At 43.8% G+C, this 15,813-nt stretch overlaps 1 protein-coding gene across 6 annotated transcripts in view; it reads right to left on the bottom strand.

The window, feature by feature from the left end:
• The window catches only part of USP13 (ubiquitin specific peptidase 13), a 136,362-nt gene that overhangs the window by 43,775 nt on the left and 76,774 nt on the right, over positions 1-15,813 (bottom strand). For all 6 annotated transcript variants that reach the window (NM_003940.3, XM_011513269.2, XM_017007426.2 and 3 more), the window contains 5 exons: positions 15,367-15,438; positions 14,918-15,011; positions 5,255-5,380; positions 3,277-3,430; positions 410-584 (listed from right to left, as the gene is read on the bottom strand). In NM_003940.3, the coding sequence (NP_003931.2) occupies positions 410-584; positions 3,277-3,430; positions 5,255-5,380; positions 14,918-15,011; positions 15,367-15,438 (621 nt within the window). The remainder of the gene's footprint in view (positions 1-409; positions 585-3,276; positions 3,431-5,254; positions 5,381-14,917; positions 15,012-15,366; positions 15,439-15,813) is intronic.

Raw genomic sequence — 15,813 nt, 5'->3', positions numbered from 1 at the left:
GTAGGGGATTGTTTCTTGGCTGTATCCTCTTGGTAAGAGAGGGGCTGGGGGTGGGGTCAAGGTTGGGAGGAAGGGAAGGAGGAAGGAAGGAAGGAAGAAAGGAAGAAAGAAAGGAAGGAAGGAAGGAAGGAAGGCTCCTAATAGAGAATAAATCACAACCTTACATTTAAAAAAAGAAAAAAGAAAACCCCTCCTTAGCACGTAATATAAATCACAGGCCTGTTTTATTGGACAGGTCTCACACAAGTGAAGTTTGACGACAGTTAGGGTGTGTGAACCATAATCCCATCCATCACACATGAACAAACACACACAGACACAAATAACACCCACCCCCTTTCCCTTACCCCTGTCCCCACCCCTCAAGGCCCCTCCTCACCCCACTGCCACCACATATACACACACTTACTTCACACCCGCAGACTTTGCTTGTAGGGCACTGCTCCAGAAATCATCAACATTTTCTGGTTCAGAGAAGGCCTGAAGGCAGGCACTAAATGGTATCTTGGCACGTACCAACTCAGGAAGGGGTCTTCTGTTTGCTTCTGCTTCCCTTCTCGTTAGTTCATAAGCGATCAGTTCATCTGGGTGAAAGAGCAAATCAAAGACCTTGCAATCGCTCTTACCCTGTGGAAATGAAAAGCACCCTCTTTGGACAGTCTTCCCTGAAGGCTTCTGCGCTGGGCCAGAGTTGCTTATTTGTCGCCCTTTACAGAGCCAGATGCCCCTGCTGAAAGGCTGTTCTGGGGCTGTCTTTAGAGTTGCACCAACAGGTGGTATCAAGCCATTTACATCTTTTTGCATGCTCCCCTTTGCGACTGACAGGAGGGAAGTGTGAGCTTGGCCTGGCCTGGGTGGGTGAGAGGGCCAGACCATGTGTGTGATATAAATGCCCATGAACCTGGTTTGTCCAAAGGCCAATACTGGGATTATTCAAATGCCATCCTCCCAACACAAGGCCTTCGCATCAGAGTATTTCACAGCCAGAAAAGGTCCAAGGGCTCACGTCTTCCCAGTCCTTCACTGCCTTGCTGAAGAACTGAGGCCCAAAGTCAAAACCAGCCAATTATTGGCAAAGCTGGACTTAAAACTCTGATCAGCACTCCCTCCACAACCCAACAGATAAGGCCAGAAAGAGATGTTACATTGTGTAAGGGGATCAATTTTTGCCAATGATCACACACACATACACAAAAGTAACAAAAACATTCTTGTTAACTTTAAGCTGTTTTAAAATAAAATAACCAAAGGCAGAAAAAAACAAAACAAAACAAAAAAAAAAACAGAACCACCACTAAGCGCCTGGCAAGAGCCAGATCGAGTGTTACACATTTTCTGATTTGGTTCCACCAGCAACTATGATTAGAGGTCATGGGTCCCACATGGGTCCCTGTGAGGCCAAGGAGGAGGATAACTACAGGACTGCAGTTAGCCACCATCAAACAACCCATGACAGTAACCAACACTGCCGAGACAACTTCCTGTGGAGGTTACCCAACACCTCAGACATCAGGGCTACCAACCCAGAAGGCCTCTGTGCTATTCCTACTCAAATGATTAAATACTAAGGGAAAAAGAGGAACCTCCCAAGCACCAGCAGATCTGGTCCTGGAAACTAGCCTGTAGTCAAAATTTTATGTCAATTTGAATGGCCTTTCTGGTCATTTCTTTTGTATTACTCAAAAAAAAAAAAAAAAAAACTCCTTATTTATCAGTTTGTAGGTACACTTACGCACATATGTGTTTTCCTAAACACATCTTAGATGGTTTAAAATTCATTCCCCTGTCCCCAATCAGTTTATGATGTACTTATATCTAGGTTGCTAACATTAGGTGTTCCCAACAGTCAAATTCCAGAGACTAAATTATAAATCTCCTTTCTGAAAAAAAAAAGTAGTTATCACTAATAAATGATAAACAGAGTTAAAAAAAGATCATGGACATGAGCAGACACGTGAGTCAGTAACCCTGAGGCGGACAAGAGAAACCACTGCAGCCTAGTTCTAACAAGGAAACAAACAGCAGACTCCCATTCCCTTGTTTCTACACCAAAAGGATTTTGAAACTGATCAAAAACTGCATGAGCATATAGAAAATGAAAATCGTTTCATCTTAAATCATCATAATCATCACTTTCCAACTAACATCATAAACTGACCCACCACCCCCCACACACAAGAAAGAGCAAAAAGGGCCATCCAGGGAACCGCTGAATTTTTTTTTCTTTATTCTCAAAAAAAAAAACAAAAAACAAAAAAACTCCAGGATACATGTGTAGAACGTGCAGGTCTGTTACATAAGTATATGTGTGCCGTGGCGGTTTGCTGCACCTACTGACCTGTCCTCTAAGTTCTCTCCCCTTTCCCCCCACCCACCAACAGGCCTCAGTGTGTGATGTTCCCCTCCCTGTGTCCATATGTTCTCAATGTTCAACTCGCACTTATGAGTGAGAATATGCGGTGTTTGGTTTCTGTTCCTGTGTTAGTTTGCTGAGGATGAGGGCTTCCAGCTTCATCCATGTGCAAAGGACATGATCTCATTCCTTTTCATGGCTGCATAGTGGAATTGCTGAACTTTACAAAAATGACTAGTTCACAGGAGATGCACAATCCAGCAGCTATTTTGTCTTTTTTGCTTCTACGATGTTAATTCGAAGAAATGCCATTTGTCTATTCTGCCTAGGAAGAACCAGCTTAGACTGATGGAAGGAGAAGGCACCAAACATGAGTGCCACATCTCTGCCTCCTTCTCTCTTCCAAAGCCCAGAGACCCTTCTAATGGGCTTTGCTTCTACAAAGAACCCTGACACAATTTATCTCCCAGAAGAGGTGGCTCAAATACTCATGTGCCAAAGCTGGATTATTTCAAGAGACCTCTGCTCGAATGTCTAACTTTAAAAAATGCAGTCCTGATCATTTCCCTCAGACTTTATAGCACAACTTATAAATGACAGTGTTAAAGAATTTTCTACATACATCATTACCAATAATTTTCCCCAAAATTATGCTGACTCCATATTCAGTAGTTGGCCAAATTTATAGGCAGTGACGTAGGTTCCAACCATAACGCCTCCATAAAACCTGTGATGCATTTGATTCTTCTCAAAGGAAAAGTCACATGGGAACTAACAAAGAGATGAAAAGAGATGTGCAAAGCAGACATCACCTGGGCTGGGTCTACTCCTGACACACTTCAGTGACTAAACCATTCTCTCTGATTTGAGGGTTTTCCCATATGAAGACACACAGTACCAATTTCCCGCTTTGGAATTGTTACCCTTGTTGGTTGCCGCCTCCATGGCCACAGGTAACTGCATCAGGTAATCCACCCTCTCCGTGTAGCGGACTTTCCGGGTCTGACAGCACTGAATGCGTTCTTCCACCAAAAAACGAAAAACATCGCTTGGGTTTTCTGAGCCGATGCGGTTCCTCTGAAGGATGGATTGTATCAGGTTAGTAAATGTATGAATATTGAGCCACTAAGACTTAGTAGAAAATGAACTCTAAACCCGGTGTAAACACTTGGCTTTATTAAACATTTCCTCTGGCCATGCCCATTCACCAAAGCACTTTAATAGAAAAACACTGGAATTTATCTAAAGTCCAAAAATGGGGATTGGTAAAATAAAATATAGTTCATCATGGATTACTATTTCAATATTATTAAATTAAAAACCATGGGAGAGAAATTCATGGAATGAGAAGAAAGGAGGAGGAGAAGCCAATCAAAAGAGAAAGGGAAAAAAATAAAGGGCTGCCCTGGAAACATAAAAACATGTACAATATGATTATATAAATACACTCATGTAAATTAGGTACAAATAAAACAGAAATTATGCTCTGTTAACAGATGTGATGATGTGGCAAACATTTAAGTGAAAACACTGCTTACAGAAGAGCATGTAGAGAATTAACATAAGACCTGGAAAGTGATGGGAGGGGCAGATGCCAACCTGTGAACACTGGCTGTTGGCCGGGCACAGTGGCTCATGCCTGTAATCCCAGCACTTTGGGAGGCGGAGGCGGGTGGATCATCTGAGGTCAGGAGTTCGAGACCAGCCTGGCCAACATGGTGAAACCCCGTCTCTACTAAAAATACAAAAAAATTAGCCAGGCATGGTAGTGGGTGCCTATAATCCCAGCTACTCGGGAGGCTTTATTCTAAAAAAAAAAAGTTATCACTAATAAATGATAAACAGAGTTAGAAAAGATCATGGACCTGAGCAGACATGTGAATCAGTAACCCTGAGGCAGACAAGAGAAACCACTGCAGCCTAGTTCTAACAAGGAAACAAACAACAGAAGAATCACTTGAACCTGCAAGGCGGAGGTTGCAGTGGGCCAAGATCGTGCCACTGCACTCCAGCCTGGGCGACAAGAGCAAGACTCTGTCAAAAACAAACAAACAAAAACAAACAAACAAACAAACAAACAAAAAACACTGGCTGGCTGCAGGGCGTGGCATTAAGGGGGATTTTGATGTTCTCCTTTGTGTTTTCTATATTTTCCACAAAGAACACTGTTGTAACCAGGAAAAAAAAAAAAGGCTTTACTCAGGAATTCTCAGTGGCTTTCCAGCTCACACCTGTAATCCCAGCACTTTGGGAGGCCGAGGCGGGTGGATCACAAGGTCAGGAGTTCAAAACCAGCCTGACCAACATGGTGAAACCCCATCTCTACTAAAAATACAAAAATTAGCCGGGCGTGGTGGCAGGCTCCTATAATCCCAGCTACTCAGGAGGCTGAGGCAGTAGAATTGCTTGAACCCAGGAGGCAGAGGTTGCAGTGAGCCAAGATTGTGCCACTGCACTCTAGCCTGGGCAACAGAGCTAGACTCAGTCTCAAAAAAAAAAAAAAAGTTTTTAATGGCATTCGATTCTGATGTAAGCAGACTCATCATCTTTGAGCAGTGGCAGGAGGACACCAAATACCACGCAGGGCTCTTAAGGAACTTTGTCACAAAGACCAGAAAAAAATAAATTGTGAATGGAATAACTGGCAAGCACTCCTATAACACATACAGGTTAAAAGAAGCACAGAGATCCACAAGTGTCTGGAAACTGGAGTGTGAAGAGCAGTCACATCAAGTTGGCTGAGCAGAGAGTTTCCAGGGATCTGATTCTGAACCAGCTTTAACAGGAGAGATTGAAGAAAGAGAGTGGGGAGGCATTCTGATCAAGCCACAGCAGACTGCACTGAGTGGCTCGGCACCCTCTTACAACCCCGCTGAGCATCCGTGAAGACTGACTACTCACCTCTACTAGATTCACCAGGTGCAAGAAGAATTCCTGGGCATCTTGCTGCCTGTTAGAGGAGAATTCCGGGTGGCTCTTGCTTACAAAGGCCTTAAACATGCGCGGAGAGATCCCGTTCTGCTGTGGCTAATGTATAAAAATGAAATGGACTTATGATACTTTCATGCAAATTAACAGCCCTAAGCGGCAAGCAGAGCAGAACCCACCATAAACTCCACTTTCCAGATGAGAAAACTACAGCCCAAAGAAGGTAAATAATGATAGTGGCCAATACTCGCTGGGTGTTTACTATGTGCCAGGCCCTGCACTATGAACCTTATGAAGAACACAGGATGAGACTCTTCCTGTTTACTTAAAACTAGGACAATAGGTGACACACACTTTAGAAAGTACTCACTTTCTAAAGTCAGGCACTCGGCTCATTCTCACAGGACTTGCTACGCAGTGACCAAATGTCACAGCCCATTTCAAAGCAAGCTTGGGAGGAGAGGTTTCCGATGGAAGTTAAAAGAGAGGCCAGGTGTGTTGGCTCATGCCTGTAATCCTAGCATTTTGGGAGGCCGAGGCAGGTGGATCACCTGAGGTCAGGAGTTTGAGACCAGCCCGGCCAACATGGCGAAACCCTGTCTCTATTAAAAATACAAAAAATTAGCTGGGCATGGTGGCGTGTGCATGTAATCCCAGCTACTCAGGAGACTGAGGCAGGAAAATCGCTTGAACCCGGGAGGTGAAGGTTGCAGTGAGCCGAGATCACACCATTGCACTCCAGCCTGGGCGACAAGAGCAAAACTCCATCTCAATAAATAAATAAATGAATGAATAAATAAATGAGAGGAGAGCTCTGCAGCATCTCCCCTTCCCTTCCATGAGGGTATAGGAGAGGACCCCTCCTGAAGAATGGAGCACTTACAAGAAAGAAAAATGGCATTGCACGGCCCAGTGAAGCACTGCAGAGCTGCTCAAGCTCACGAGCCCACCCCATACTGTTTCTGGACCAGAGCACAGGGAGTTCCAGGAGCTTGTAGAGGGCTTGCCCCTCACCTGGCTGCAGCTGCTAGAAAGGCTGCGGGGGAAGAACAGGCAGCAGGGCAACTCTGGCAGGACGAGGATGCTGGATTTCGTGGGGGACCAGCAGGACAGCTCAGAAGGCAGCCAAATGCCCCATGCAGGACCCTACAGAAGTGGGCAGGCTATCTGCCAGTGGAGAAGGCTCAGGGCAGGAGGAGGTGACGGCTGCCGAGGCCAGCTGGACAGAGCATCAGGGAAAGGTCCTTGTAAGGTCCCTGAGGGTGGTATAACAGTTGCGGGGAGGCAGCTCTAAAGAACCACCAATGTTCCCCCACAAAAAAGCCAGCCATGACAGGAGACATGTGGCAGCCCAGAGGGAGCCCACCAGCACTTGGCAAGTGAAAAGACTCTGCCTACTTCTCTAATCTCCAATCCCCTTGACCCTTGACTATGGAGGGGCCAGCAGCGGGTGGAAAGAGGCAAATAAGTGGAGCAAAGACCGCCCCCACAACCAAAAACAAAACAAAACAAAACAAAATTAGATGCTGACACTAATGCTTCAGCACTGCTGTTTTCTGAAACTCTTGAGCTAGGTAGAATGAAGAAGACTAAAACTGGCTCTTTAATACGGGTAACCTACAGAAAATCACAAGGAATCTAGGGGATCTGCCCAGGATGCTCTGAAGAGGCAGGTAGGAAGATTCCACATCACCTTTGGCAATAAAGATGTGCACCTGATAAAGCTGTTTCCCAAATGTTTCCTCCAAGTTCAGCCCATCTACTAATGGTGATACCTACTGTCTCGTTAATACTTGTAGTAACCCTAGAAAGCGGACACTAGTCTTATCTTCACTCGGGAAGCTGAGACTGGCAGAGAAGTGCCAGATAGGCCTTTCAACTCAAAGTGGTCTTAACACCCAACTGCCATGCAGCTAACAAAGCCTAACCAGAGTGGCTCTAACTCCAGTTCCAGGCTGTCTGTAGCAAAAACAAGTAAGCACACTTAGGTCTCAGTCATACAAACCTCACCTTGTCATTTGAGCCAAAGAAGTAATTTATGTCCTCTCTGCAAAGGCTGTAGCTGCTACCCACCCACTTTTCCATAAAACCTCCCTTTGCTTAGCTTGCAGACCATATTCCTCTCCTCTGAAGTCCAGAGCACAAAATGCCTTCTACCTTCTTTAACTTTCAGCCTGCTTCTGGTCTGTCTCTGCAGCCTTTGCGGTGGAGGCCATGTCTTACACCTCCTCGAATTCTCATGGAGGTCCATGCCTATAGTCTGGGGACGATGACACGTTTGCAGAATCACAGTCATATGCAACAGCTGATGAGAAAACTCCTTTATCTATCTCCCTGCGACAAAGAGGCAGCTCCATATATAACATCCCTCCAACACACATGTTCTATGCAGTGTTTTCTAATAAAAATCTGATGAATTTCCCTGTCTTGCTGAAAACATAATCTGGTCTGGGCATTTAGTATTTAGTGACTGCCTGCTTCATGCAGAGCACTATTGGAGATTCTGCCTTCTAGGAGCTTACGGACAACAGAGGAGATGAGAGACATACACACGCATCGATAACAAATGTTAGGGAACACCACAGAGGACCTGAAACACCACTGGTAGCTCTCAAAGAATTCCTCAAAGTGGCAGCATTTGGGCATCTAAGGACTAACAACCTGTATATAAATGACCAGCTTACACACATACACGGCTTCAGTTGTGCTTCCAGCGCTAGCCAAAGCGCAATTAATTTTACTACCTGACAATTAATTTTACTACCTGTATATACACCTCCTGAAACCTATGTAAAAATTGTGACTTTCTTCATTCACAGTGCTGATATATATCACATAGTATCAGCTGACACGAGCATGCAATAATAATGCCCTAGCTTCATATAATGGCTAACATTTATGTACTCATTAAGCAGATATTTACTGAGAGCTATAAAATCTCAGGTGCTTGGATGAATACCGACTACGTGCCAGGCACAGTTCTTAACACTTTACATATATATTTTTCTTAACTCACCCAACCCCATGAGGTGGTGATGATGATTTTCTCCACTTGACAGATGGGGAAACTGAGGCACAGAGTTATTAAGTCCAGGGTCACAAAGCTAAAAAATCTCTCCACTCCCTTTCTCTAGTGTCCTTATGCTGTTTTTGGTATACATGTGCCAACATCTCATTTCTGAGGTCCCTGAGTCCATCCTACTAGCTGCTAAAGAGAAGACAACACATCAAGAGTCTGCATAACCCTTCTTCAAGCCTACACAACTCTAGGGCCAACATCACAAGCCAGTCCAACAGTTATTTCTCCACTTTGAAGAGTATGGAGGCACCACTTGGAATAAATCCCTTGGCATTTGTGCATTTCTGTTTAGGCATTCACATCAGCATGCATTCACTGCCTGCTGCTGATAGTGTTATTTCTTATAATCTGTGATTCAAGTTTTGTGTGGCTGCCAGTCCCCAACACAGACCATAGCAAGCAGCCGCTCTGGGAAGTTTAACAAGCCAGTAAATTCTGAAGAGCTAGCTGCTGCTCTGGGCCATCATGTGGCCATACAACCAGAAGGAGAAGTTTCAATAGAGACCATGGTGGGAAACACTAGAAATTCAGCCCCATACCTGGACTGTGGCCCATTCTCAGCCATTCCCCTCCCACACTTCTGTGACCATTTCATTTCTTCGTTTTCCTTAACCAACTTTTCTTAATCTTCTATTCAACAGTCAAGTTATTGCTTGAGAGTTGTCGATCATTTAGAAGTTATTTGAAAAAGCTCCCTAACCAGATGCTACCTCCTCCTCTTCACATCATGCTGCAGACCAGTTCCTGGGGTTCACAGCTGGGTTAGAGCATCTTAGCTCAAACTCATCTACTTCAAGCTTAGTGCCTTGATCATCACCTGGTCCCATCTGCTAACACCCATCCCCATGCCTACTCTCTGCTTTCAGAGGGGACGTCTTACTAATTCCCGTGGTCAACTATTAATATGCTCACTTCACACCTAGTTATTAGAAAGTCAGGCTCTGAAAAAGTTGAGCCTGAATCTCATGAAGCCTCCAGATCTAGCGACCTTATACCAAACACAAGTCAAACAATACCTCAAGGAAGCAATCTTTAGAGCAAACTTAAAGCAAATAGTCCAGCTCCTTCAACAAATCAATAGTTTGCAAAAAGAAAAGGAGGGGGACTTTAGAAAGATATCTTGGATAATGCAGGAAAAAATCAGAAGATGGACTAGGTATTCGTGATACTAAGGGATGGTTGTTAATTTTGCTGCTGTGCTTTTAACACTTCAAACAGCTTTTTTTAAAGAGATGAAGTTTTGCTGTTGCCCAGGCTGGATGGCAATGGTGCAATCACAGCTCACTGCATCCTCAAACCCTTGGGCACAAGTGATCCTCCCACCTCAGCCTCCCAAGTATCTGGGACTACAGACACACGCCACTGTGCCCAGCTAATTATTTTATTATTATTTTTTCTAGAGACAGGGGTCTTACTGTGTGGCCCAGGTTGGTCTCAAAGTCCTGGTTTCAAGCAGTCTTCCTGCCTCAGCTTCTCAAAGTGCTGGGATTACACGTGTGAGCCACCACACCTGGCTGGACACTTTAAACTTTTAATACAATATTTATGTTAAAAGAAGAAAGAAGGTATTATAGTTACAGATGCATAACTACATCTATAGGTGAAAAGGAGGATGTTTAAATTTTATGTTAAAATACTGAAGGGAAGGAAAAGGAGAGGAAGAGAAAAAATGAGAAAAGGAGAAAGGAAATGAAAGAGAAGAGTGAAGAGTTTAGGGAAACTGGTGGAACCAGATTTGCAGGATGATTATTGAAGCTGCACATCAAGTACATAGAGATTCATTATACTTTGCTCTCTACTTTTGTATATATATGCAAATTTAAATAATTTTTCCTTTAAAAAAAAAAAAAGGTCAGGCTCTGGACAAGGCAGTTCCCTAAAAGAAACCAAAAATCCAAAATAAGAACCAAAGAATTAGATTACAGAAAGCATGTTTCCCATTTAGCAATGAGCCAGTGACATCACCTGAGTGTCCCCTATGGGCCCAACACCTCACAAGATGAGAGGCAGAGACCCAACTTGACCAAGAGTCGGCCCTGCCTTCAGGGAACACACACTCTCACTTGAGAGCTGGCTCTCAGACACCTGAGGCAATGGCTAGTCCTGACCACTAACTTTATAACACAGAGACCCAGGAAGTCACCAAAATAGCATCCAACTAAGGAATCTGTCATATTAATAAGATACTGTACTTACTTTCTCCATCAGCAATTGCAAAACAGATCAGCTAAAATTAGAGGGAGGCCTTCAGTGTTCAGAATCTCTCCCAAATGCTTACACAGGACTTTCTGTTTAACAGAGTGCACCACACAGACAGCCAGACACAGTCCACCATATTCCCCTGAGCCGAATGCTTTAATTAATAAGCAAGCAGCAAGACTGAGGCTTTTATCACATCACAGCAATACTTGCACAGATACTTTTAAACCACAGGATAAAAGGAAGATAGACACATGTCTGCCTGTCCCTAAAACAAAAGTGTATGAAGTCTGTTGATTTAAATTTTTAACCTTAAACAATAAACCTTGAACCAGTAAGTGTTTAACCCAGGCCCAAACCCCAAATCTCCTAAGCTAAGAGGACAGGGGCATTCCCGAACTATTACTCATATTTCAAAGGTGAATCAGAAAGGTTACATGTGTCTAACCTAGGAAAATAGAGGTTAAGGGAAACAAAGCTCTTATGTTCACAGCTAAAATTATACCACCTTGAAGCAGAACACTGGTTATCTCACGTTGATGAAAAGTTGAGACCAGCAAGTATGTGTTGAGGATTATTTAGATGAGAAATCAAATAAATTGTCGCTTAAGAAATGCAGCTTATTCAGAATACAGAGTTATTTAAGATATGTTATCTTTGGAGGAAGAAATGAGGTAGAGTGTTCAGCTTTAAAACATTTGAAAGCACTGCCTTAGAATGCATAAAGATAGAGAAAATATTTTTTGAAGAAAAAAATGCCCTTTTATAGTAACTATTATCTACTGCAAGTGCAAGTTAATCTTAAAATTCAATTCAACATATTTAAGTAAAAATGGCGGTACCACAAATAAATACTGCTGCCTTTTTATGCATGACAATGTTTATTAAGCATGCATATATAAAAAGCTAGATTTAACCTTGGTTTATAGCAGATTAATTTAATACTGGGAAGTATATATTCTAGAAATGACTCAACTTGGAAGACGCCAGTGAGAAACCCTCATAACTGGGCTACCTGGTAATTCTGCAAACTTCAAACGCCCCCTTTTGTCATCCACCTGCCACCATCCACACACTGAGGCACTGGGAGCCTGAAATAAGTCTTGGAACAACTGTTAGGGAAGTAGGATAATGCGGTGATCAAAAACACAGACTCCAGAGCCAAACTGCCTGATATAATTCCCAGCTCTGCCACTCACTGGCTTTGCAACTTTGGGCAAGGCTTCTGTGCATCCGTTTCCGCATCAGTGAATATAGAGGAAGAGCCTGGCCCTTTGCAAGCACTATGTGATGCTAGTTATTAAGACCATGCGTGGTGGTGGCCCCGTAAAAAGGCGTTTCTGCCACATGGCTCTGACCCATCCTTCATGCTCTCTCCCCCACACCATACATTCCTCTCATCATCTATCCCCTTCTCTGTTTCAGTGAATCTTCTTTCCCTCTCTTGGGGCATTTCAGGCTCATCTATAAGTCACAAACACCAGAGGCCTGGGACAGGACCATCCTTCCAAAGGGCTTCTGATAACTGAGAAAAGGAAAGAGTCTCACAAATTGGTTCCTTTGAAACCAACTGCCAGTGAAAATCGTGATGCCTGAGAAACTAATTCCTTCTACTGTCAAGGAAAGTGGAGATTTTTGCTGTAAATTATTTGTCTATTCAAGGAACAGCTTGAAACGGACACCCCCAGGGCCACAAGGAAAATCATGGTCAATGTGAGCTCTATTTGAGTGTTAAAGAAATATTACCGATGCTGGACCAAAGACCGACTTGTCTCCCACCCAGCTGGATGGGCCCTCCCTGCCCCTGCCTAGATGCACATATATGCTTCTCATAATCAAGATTCTTTCTTCAAGACCACTAGATCGTGGCACCTGAGGGCTGGAAAGGATTTCACAAGTCATCTAGATCAAGGGTCACAAATCCAAATACCCAGAGTCCCAGTCAGGTCATGAGTCACAAAGGGACCGGAGCCAGCTGGGGACTGTGTGTCCTGTGTGAAGGGAGGGCTGCCCCTTGGCTCCAGCTGTCATTGCGGGCCTGGGACTGTCAGACGTTCTGAATGGTTAAGAGAAGATGGAAATTTAGATTTTATGTGTGGACCAAGCAAAACACATCCCAGAGATGGCCCAAGTGCTTCCAGGTCACATACCTTGATCCAGAGCAGTGGCTCCCACCTACAAGCCTCAGACCCTGGAGATGTAAGGAGCTACTACACTACAGCCACCGAATCCAGTGGGGGAAGAGAGACAAGGGCTCCAAACAGATACTACTTGTAGACTGCATAGATAGTGTGCCTTGCTCATATAAGAACTACTTTTTTTAACATAAAAGGACACTGTAATATTAACAAAACCAAATTTTATTTCCAAACAGCACTAAATTGATGATTTTTCATTTCACATTTTCTCAAATGAGGAGATCCCAAGAGCACAGAAACGGTCACGCAAGGTCCATGATTTTATTTACATTAGAAAGGGGACTCCTGGGCCTAAAACATTCACCACCACCACCTAGATCAATTCTGCCACTTGAATGGTGAGATTGGAAGGTGGCATGACTTGCCCATAGTCACACAACTCCTTGCAGAACCAGAAGGGAAAGCCAGGCTCCTGAGTCCGACTCCCAGCTCCTTCACCACCAGCACAGAGCATGGACCCTGCCCCAGAAGAGCCATGCAAGAAGTGACACCGCCTGTTTGAGAACGCAGAACCAATCCAATCATAACACAATTTTGGACTGAGGTTTATCCACAATCACCTCTTCAAAGTTTCACAGAAGCACAGAAGTAGAAGAAGCCTGGATAACCCCATACTCCAGCCCTACCCTCAAGCCACCTCCTCAACTGTATCTCAGATGGGAGCCTTCCAGCCTCTGGTGGATAAGGACCTTGCTATCTTACAATGCTGGGTAACAATGCAACTTGAGAACTTCAGTTCTTCCTATTCCCATACCCCTCTGGTCTCCTGGGCTTGCCATTCAGAATGTCTGTTTCCCTCTCCACCCTCTTTACAACCTACTTCTTTCTCCCCATCCCCAAGGCTGCCTCTATATGTTCTTTCCACAATCTCCCTTCTCTTGCTTGCTCCATTTCCACAACTAGCTGGCTTCCTGATGAACAAGAGGGTATTTATTCACTGTTGATTCTTGCTCTCAGTCTACAGGTATTGGCTAAGAAGGACTGCCTTAAGATAAACACTTGAGACACAGAACTGAACGAGCCTGCCCAGTAAGTCAAGACAGGATACTAGGAAGCCAGAGCAGGTGGCGGGGAAGTGGGGCACGCGTTCCACTCAGGGCATCTGTGGCAACGGGAGAGGACGGTGCCAAACACAGATGCGTAAGCTGTGCACTACACAATTCCAAGGGCACCACTCAAAAAGACCAAGTTATGAGTAGTACCCTCTGGAGTTGTACAACAAGCAGCATAGGGAGGGTCCAGTGGAAATGCAGGTCTGGCCATTAAAACATCAAGCCTATCTTTCAGTGGTTCTATTAATTAGTAACGACTGGCCCACGGAGTTTCTCCTACTTGAGCCTGCTTAAGAACCACCCGGCAGCTTACCAAACCTGAGGAATGCCAAGCCCTCCCCTGAAATTCTGATTCCTCAGTCCTACGGAGGGACTAAGGAATCTATGTGTTGTTTTTTGTTTGTTTGTTTGTTTGATATGGAGTCTTACTCTGTCGCCCAGGCTGGAGTGCAGTGGCACAGTTTCAGCTCACTGCAACCTCCTGGTTCAAGCAATTCTCCCACTTCAGCTTCCTGAGTAACTGGGATTACAGGCGTGCACCACCACGCCCAGCTAATTTTTGTATTTTTAGTAGAGACAGGGTTTCACCATGTTGGCCAGGCTGGTCTCGAACTCCCAACCTCAGGTGATCCACCCACCTCGGCCTCCCAAAGTGCCGGGATTATAGGTGTGAGCCACCATGCCTGACCCTGTGTGTTGTTTTTTAACAACCAGACTCTTGAGAAACTCTAGCCAAGAAAGTTGAGGCTTAGGAGAAGGAAGACACTGTAAGTGCCGAGACTGTGTTACCAAAGGGAAAATGTTTATATTTTTATGAGATTTAGTCCTTCGATCTCAGCTCTATTTTATAAAGAATACTGTTTCTAAAGATGGTTAATGATGGCACACATGTATAATCCATGAAGCAACTGTCTCTATAAACACAACCCTGGCTATTCCTTGTCACAATTTTTAAGAGCATACAGACAGGCACCCTAGACACTGAAATGACATTACTATTCTGACAGCTTGCTAAATTTATGGCCACCATGTGCCAAATCATAGGAAACCCACATTCTAAAGCTCCTCCCTACCTACATGTCAACATGGCAAACGCTCGGACACATACCTTGTGCTCCTCCTTCATCACCTGTTCAATGAGTTCAGATTTCACCGGAGGCTTTGAATACTGGCCTGAGAGAAGGCCATGTCCTAACTTAGTCCTGGCCAGGACAGAGAAACAGAAACAAAAAGGTCATTGTTGTTTTTCCATAGTAATATTAAATTTATCTATGAATATCAATAAGTACAACTGCTGTTAGGTGGAGCATTTGATCTGCGTTACACACAAATAACTTATTTATTTGATTCTGCTTCATACTGATACCAGTTTCAAATTTTCTTCAGTCCTTTGTAGATAACTTTATCTTCTTATAAAAGTAACACATTCTCATTTTGGAACACTTTTTTAAAAATACATGAAGAATTGCCTTTAATTTTGCAACCCAGAGATATCCACTATGAACATTTTATTGGATGCTTTTTCTAGAAAAAAAAAAATACAAATCTGGCACTTACATCTGTGTGTTGAAATCTTGTGTTGGATCTAAAGGCGAGTAGTCAAATATTCTGGGAAGGTTTCCTACATACCTAGAAAATGAGAGGCAATAGTTAAAACATAGCAACTGCAAGAAGAACAGAACCAAAACAAGCCATCAAAATTCTTGCTAAGACCTTCTTGCCCCTTTGTCAAACTAAACAATCTACCTGAAGAAAAGTTTTTCATGAGATTCTACCCCTACCAGCACTCATGACCTTCCTGAAACGTTTATGCTTCTATCAGTGGGTCTCAACCCTCGTTGTAAGTTAGATTCACCCAAAGAGTTTCTTTTACATATATCAAAACCAGAAGCACCCCTAAATGTTCCAATTTCATTGCGTGAGACTGAGGCCTGGGATTTGGAATTTCTTTTAAAAGTTCCCTGAGTGATTCTAACACGCAACCAGAGTTAAGAACCACTGGCT

The sequence above is a fragment of the Homo sapiens genome, chromosome 3 (genome assembly GCF_000001405.40).
Source record: "Homo sapiens chromosome 3, GRCh38.p14 Primary Assembly".
Taxonomy (NCBI): domain Eukaryota; kingdom Metazoa; phylum Chordata; class Mammalia; order Primates; family Hominidae; genus Homo; species Homo sapiens.
Note: the sequence above shows the minus strand (reverse complement) of the source record. Positions and strands in the feature narration are given on the sequence as shown.